At 38.9% G+C, this 6,000-nt stretch overlaps 2 annotated features.

Annotated features, from left to right (window-relative positions):
* Positions 2,419-2,918: an enhancer, noted in NCBI's record as "H3K4me1 hESC enhancer chr6:153236127-153236626 (GRCh37/hg19 assembly coordinates)". NCBI's record gives its function as "activates a minimal SCP1, AML or CMV promoter by ChIP-STARR-seq in naive H9 embryonic stem cells {active_cell/tissue: H9 hESC(naive)}" and the evidence as "EXISTENCE:reporter gene assay evidence [ECO:0000049][PMID:30033119]".
* Positions 2,919-3,420: an enhancer, noted in NCBI's record as "H3K4me1 hESC enhancer chr6:153235625-153236126 (GRCh37/hg19 assembly coordinates)". NCBI's record gives its function as "activates a minimal SCP1, AML or CMV promoter by ChIP-STARR-seq in naive H9 embryonic stem cells {active_cell/tissue: H9 hESC(naive)}" and the evidence as "EXISTENCE:reporter gene assay evidence [ECO:0000049][PMID:30033119]".

Raw genomic sequence — 6,000 nt, 5'->3', positions numbered from 1 at the left:
ATTGCAAAAACAGAAATTTTACCCTTTTACATTGCAGACAGATATTTACAAATCCAATCTGTTACATACATTGTCTCAAGATAAACGATAACTAGCCATCAAGTAAGAGGAGTTGACTGCTCCAGTTCATGTTCCTGATAATTTCACTTAGTAATTGGGGTAACCATCCAGGTTTGATAATTACTTTTATGTAAAAAACACAATTGTCATATTTTTATGACAGAAGGTAGTTTTGCAAGCTGAATCAAGGCTTCTAGCCTCCCACAGAAACAGGGAGATAAATACTCTATCTTCCTTGATGATTACATTACAAAAAGATCTAGATCTCGAGAAAAATATTTCTTTTTTTTAAAAAAAAAATTATTTCCATAAGTTTTTGGGGAACAGGTGGTATTTGGTTACATGAGTAAGTTCTTTAGTGGTGATTTGTGAGATTTTGGTCCACCCATCACTCAAACAGTATATACTGAACCCTATTTGTAGTCTTTTATCCATCACCCCTTTCCCACCCTTTCCCCCTGACACCCCAAAGTCCATTGTGTCATTCTTATGCCTTTGCATCCTCATAGCTTAGCTCTCACTTATAAGTGAGAGCATACAATGTTGAGTTTTCCACTCCTGAGTTACTTCACTCAGAATAATAGTCTCCAGGCCGGGCGCAGTGGCTCATGCCTGTAATCCCAGCACTTTGGGAGGCTGAGGTGGGCAGATTACCTGATGTCGGGAGTTTGAGACCAGCCTGGCCAACATGGTGAAACCCTGTCTCTACTAAAAATACGAAAATTAGCCAGGCATGGTGGCAGACACCTGTAATCCCAGGTACTCGGGAGGCTGAGGCAGGAGAATTGCTTGAACCCAGAAGGTGGAGGTTGCAGTGAATGAAGATCATGCCACTGCATTCCAGCGTGGGCGATAGAGCAAGACTCTGTCTCAAATAATAATAATAATAATAATAATAATAATAGTCTCCATCCCATCCAGGTCATTATGAATGCCATTAATTCATTCCTTTTTATGGCTGAGTAGTAGTCCATCATATATATATATATGTACCACAGTTTCTTTATCCACTTGTTGATTGATGGGCATTTGAGTTGGTTCCATATTTTTGCAAATGCGAATTGTGCTGCTACAAACGTGTGTGCAAGTATCTTTCTAGTATAATGACTTCTTTTCCTCTGGGTAGATACCCAGTAATGGGACTGCTGGATCAAGTGGTAGTTCTACTTTTAGTTCTTTAAGGAATCTCCACATTGTTTTCCACAGTGGTTGTGCTAGTTACATTCCCACCAGCAATGTAGAAATGTTCCCTGAGAGAAATACTCCTTTGTGGTAAAACTGGCAAAAGGCATATTTTAAAGAAATCGTTTTAGAAAGAATTTCATAAATCTCAAAGGGTCAGAAACAGAAATTACAATTTTCACAAAGTTTTCTAAAACAAAAGCTGAAATAAAAGGATGGGGGGGTAGCAAGGAGTCCCTTCCATTATTTTAAAAAGGTAAAGTTAAGCCTCTTATTTTTAATTTGTATTTACCCTTAGAAAGACAAAAAGGAGAAGATGTAGTACAGCAGGTATTTCAGCTCCTCTCTGAGGTGATACTCCCCACGGAACATTCACACACAGCACATTCCACAGCTGTGCCTGGGGCTGTGTCCAAATCCACCATGCCCATTTCAACTCCATCCTTCCTGTCACTACTGCTCAGAAAGCACATTAGAATTCAAGCTGATGAAAGTACAGTTCATCCATTCTAACTTATAATAATGTTAGTCATGTACAAACATTCATAATCTAACTATTAATAGCAAGAATTTACTTGCCATCTATGCCTATTTACACCATAGCAGAGCCACTAGAAAAATGACAGAATAAAAGGAGGAAAAGAAGACATAGTGTTTACCATTAAAAATTACCTTAACATCTGGATTATTAACCCCTTCTTTCCTGTAAAAACAAGATGAAGCAAAATCAGAAATTATGTATATAAATGACCACATTGATAAGGGACATGTGCAACAGCAGCTGCCTCAGAAGCAATTGAATTTCTCCTACCTTCCACTCTCCAAAGTCATGCTACTTTAGTCACAGTAACAAAGAATGTCAATGTCTGGATACATACTTTTTATCCCCCTAGAACCAGGTTACTTGTGCAAACACAGTAAAGACATTTACAAAATGATATAAATTATGCATAGAAGAATAGCAAGAAATGCAGAAAGTGTGACGGTCAGTGCTTGATGTGATTATGGTCAATTTTCTCTGGAATACTTTTTGTTTCTAAGTTTTTAAAAATAGAATGTATAATAATTATAATCATAATTATATTAACACTAGAAAATTGCTAATTCCATGATTTTCTAGGTCATTCCCCCTAATTTTGTGCTGAGAAAAATATGTACACATAAATTTATCTCCATTCCAGTGCCTGCTCTCTGTTAGCAACATGAAATGTTCAGTTGTGAAGAGAAACTGCTGAAGAGAGTAAAATAGTCAACAGGTTTCTACTTATTCTTTATGATTTCCACCATGATCTTGAAGACAGTCTTATTTAAAGCTGGCACTTTATCTTATAATAAATAAGATAGCATTTGGACTCATGTGTCTGAATTTTGTCATTTTCCATGTAGCTACGTGGTAGTATTAGACCACAGAGTTTTAATTACATATTTTATCTGAGATGCAAAAATGAAGTGCATTTTTATGCATTCTTTTAGAAAGAACTATGTAAATCTTGATGCCTTTGAGGTTCTTTAAAGTTATTTATGCTTACCCCTACCCACATCCTCCTGGCCCTGCAGCCTTCTCCCATTGCTTTGCTGGCATGAACTTGCTCATAGCTCCCCCACCACTTTGCTGGAGTGTGTATGGATGGACCACACTGCACTGCCCCCAAAGGCAGGCATGTGCGCTCACCCCACCATGTTGCTGCTGAGAGCACAAGCACACATGGACACCACTGCCCCACCTTCACCTGTGCCCTGCCCTCACCAATGCACATATATCCTGCCATGCTGCTGTTGCTGCTGGCCTGTGTGTGCAAGTGTCTACCCTGCTGCCATGGCACTAATGAAGTGCTTTGGTTGGCACTGCTTCACTGGAGTCTTGTTGCCAATGGACCTGGAACACTTTGGCTTCTCCAATGCAGTGGGTTCCTAATCTCAAGGGGTCAGAGAACCAAGCTGTGTGCCTGGTTCCAGCCCCCTAGGGCTAGAGCATGAGTCCAGAAGCTCTAAGTTGAGTGTTGGCCACCTGAAATCTTACAGAAACAAAGCTAGGTGATTGAACCTACCTTATACCACAGTCAAACTGTCAATGAGATCAAGGAATGTAAAAGCAAATAAATTTATCCAAGGAGAGCAGCTTCAAAGATTAAAGTAACATCAGCCCACACAAATGAGAAACAACCTGTGCAAGAACTCTGGCAACTCAAAAAGCCAGAGAGTCTTCTTACCTCCAAATGACCGTACTAGTTCACCAGCAGCTGTTCTTAACCAGTCTGAAAAAAGACTCTGGATAAGAACGAAGATCGTTGAGACTCAGTAGAAAATCAAAACCTAATGCAAGGAATCTAAGGAATTCAATACAACCATACAAGAAAAAGAACAAAATCTGACAGGCATGGTGGCTCATACCTGTAATTCCAGCACTTTGGGAGGCTGAGGAGGGTGGATCACTTGAGGCCAGGAGTTCAATACTGGCCTGGCCAACATAGTGGAACCCTGTTTCTACTAAAAGTACAAAAATTAGCCAGGTGTGGTGGTGAGAGCCCGTAATCCCAGCTACTCAGGAGACTGACGCAGGAGAATCACTTGAACTCAGGAGCGAAGATTGCAGCAGTGAGCCGAGATTGTGCCACTGCAGTCCAGCCTGGGTGACACAGCTAGACTCTCTCTCAAATAAAGAATGAACAAAACCTGAGAAATATGGGATTATATAAAGAGACCAAACCTATGACTCACTGGTGTCCCTGAAAGAGAAGGAAAGAGCAAGCAACTTGGAAAACAAGTTTGAGGATATTGTCCATGAAAATTTCCCCAAAGTCCCTAGAGAGGTCAATACTTAAACTCAGAAAATTCAGAGAATTCCTGTGAGATACTACACAAGACGATCATCCCCACATAGTCATCAGGTTCTCCAAGGTCAATGTGAATAAAAAAATATTAAAGGCAGCTAGAGAAAAGGGGCAGGTCACCTACAAAGAGAACACCATTGGGCTAACAGCAGACCCTTCAGCAGAAACGCTACCAGCCAGAAAAGATTGAGCAGCAATATTTAGGATCCTTAAAGAAAACAAATTCCAACCAAGAATTTTATATCCAGCCAAACTAAGCTTCATAAGCAAAAGAAAAATAAGATCCTTTTCAGACAAGTAAATGCTAAGGGAATACATTACCGCCAGACCTATCTTACAAGAGATCCTTAAAGAAGTGCTAAACATGGAAAGGAAAGATCATTGCCAGCCACCACAAAAACACACTTAAGCATACAGACCACTGACAGTATAAAACAACTACAAGATCAAGCTTGCATAAAAACCAGTTAACAACATGATGACAGGACCAAATCTGCCCATATCAATATTATCCTTGAACATAAATGGGTGAAATGCCCCACTGAAAAGGCATAGAGGCATGTTGAATAAAGAAGAAAGACCTGACTGTGTGCTGTTTTCAGGAGACCCCATGTCACATGCAATGACACCCATAGGATCAAAGAAAAGGGATAGATAAAAATATACTAAGCAAACTGAAAATACAAAAGGAGTTGCTATTCTGATTTCAGACAAAACAGACTTTAAACCAACAACAACAACAATAATAATAATAATAAAAGGCATTACATAATGAAAAAGGGTACAATTCAGCAAGACTTAACTATCCTAAATATATATGCATCCAACACTGGATCACCCAGATTCATAAAACGCATTCCTAGAGATCTACAAACAGACTTAGATAACCACACAATAATAGTGGGAGACTTCAACACCCCACTGATAGTATTAGACAGATCATCAAAGCAGAAAACTAAAACAATATTCAGGACCTGAACTCAACACTTGACCAAATGAACCTAACAGACATCTAAAGAACACTCCTTTCAACAACAGAATATAGTATGAGAATATTCTTCTCATCTGCACACAGCACATACTCTAAAATCAACCACACAATTGGCCATAAAACAATTCTCAAAAAATTAAAAAAACTGAAATCATACCAACCATACTCTCAAACCACAGTGCATTAAAAATAAAAATCAATACTGAGAAGATCTCTCAAAACCAAACAATTACATGGAAACTAAACAATGTTCTCCTGGATGACTTTTGGATAGACAATGAAATAAAGGTATTATTCAAGAAATTCATTGAAACTAATGAAAACAGAAGATACAGCATACTAGGATCTCTGGGAAACAGCAAAGGCCTATTTATTTATTTATTTGAGACAGGGTCTTGTTTTGTTGCCCAGGCTGGTCTCAAACTTACAGACTCGAGCAATCTGCCCACCTCAACCTCCCAAAGTGCTGGGATTACAGGCATAAATCACTTTTTCCAGCTTAAAGCATTGTTAAGAGGAAAGTTTACAGCACTAAACACCATATCAAAAAGTTAGAAAGATTTCAAATCAACAACCTAATATCACATCTAGAGGAACTAAAAAACAAAAGCAAATCTTTGCAGGTAGCAGAAGATAAGAAATAACCAAAATCAGAGCTGAACTGAAGGAAACTGAGAGGTGGAAAATCATACAAAAGATCAACAAATCCAGGTTTGGTTCTTTGAAAGAATTACTAAGATAGATAGACTGCTAGCTGAACTAATAACAAAGGAGAAGCTCCAAATAAACACAATCAGAAATGACAAAGGGCACATTACCGTCTACCCCACAGAAATACCAGAAGCCCTCAGAGAGTATTGTAAACACCTCTATGCATGCAAGCTAGAAAACCTGGAAGAGATGGATACATTCTTGGAAACATACAACTGCCCAAGA

Source organism: Homo sapiens, chromosome 6 (genome assembly GCF_000001405.40).
Source record: "Homo sapiens chromosome 6, GRCh38.p14 Primary Assembly".
Classification (NCBI taxonomy): domain Eukaryota; kingdom Metazoa; phylum Chordata; class Mammalia; order Primates; family Hominidae; genus Homo; species Homo sapiens.
The sequence above is the reverse complement of the archived record's forward strand: the minus strand, read 5'-3'. Positions and strand labels throughout refer to the sequence as shown.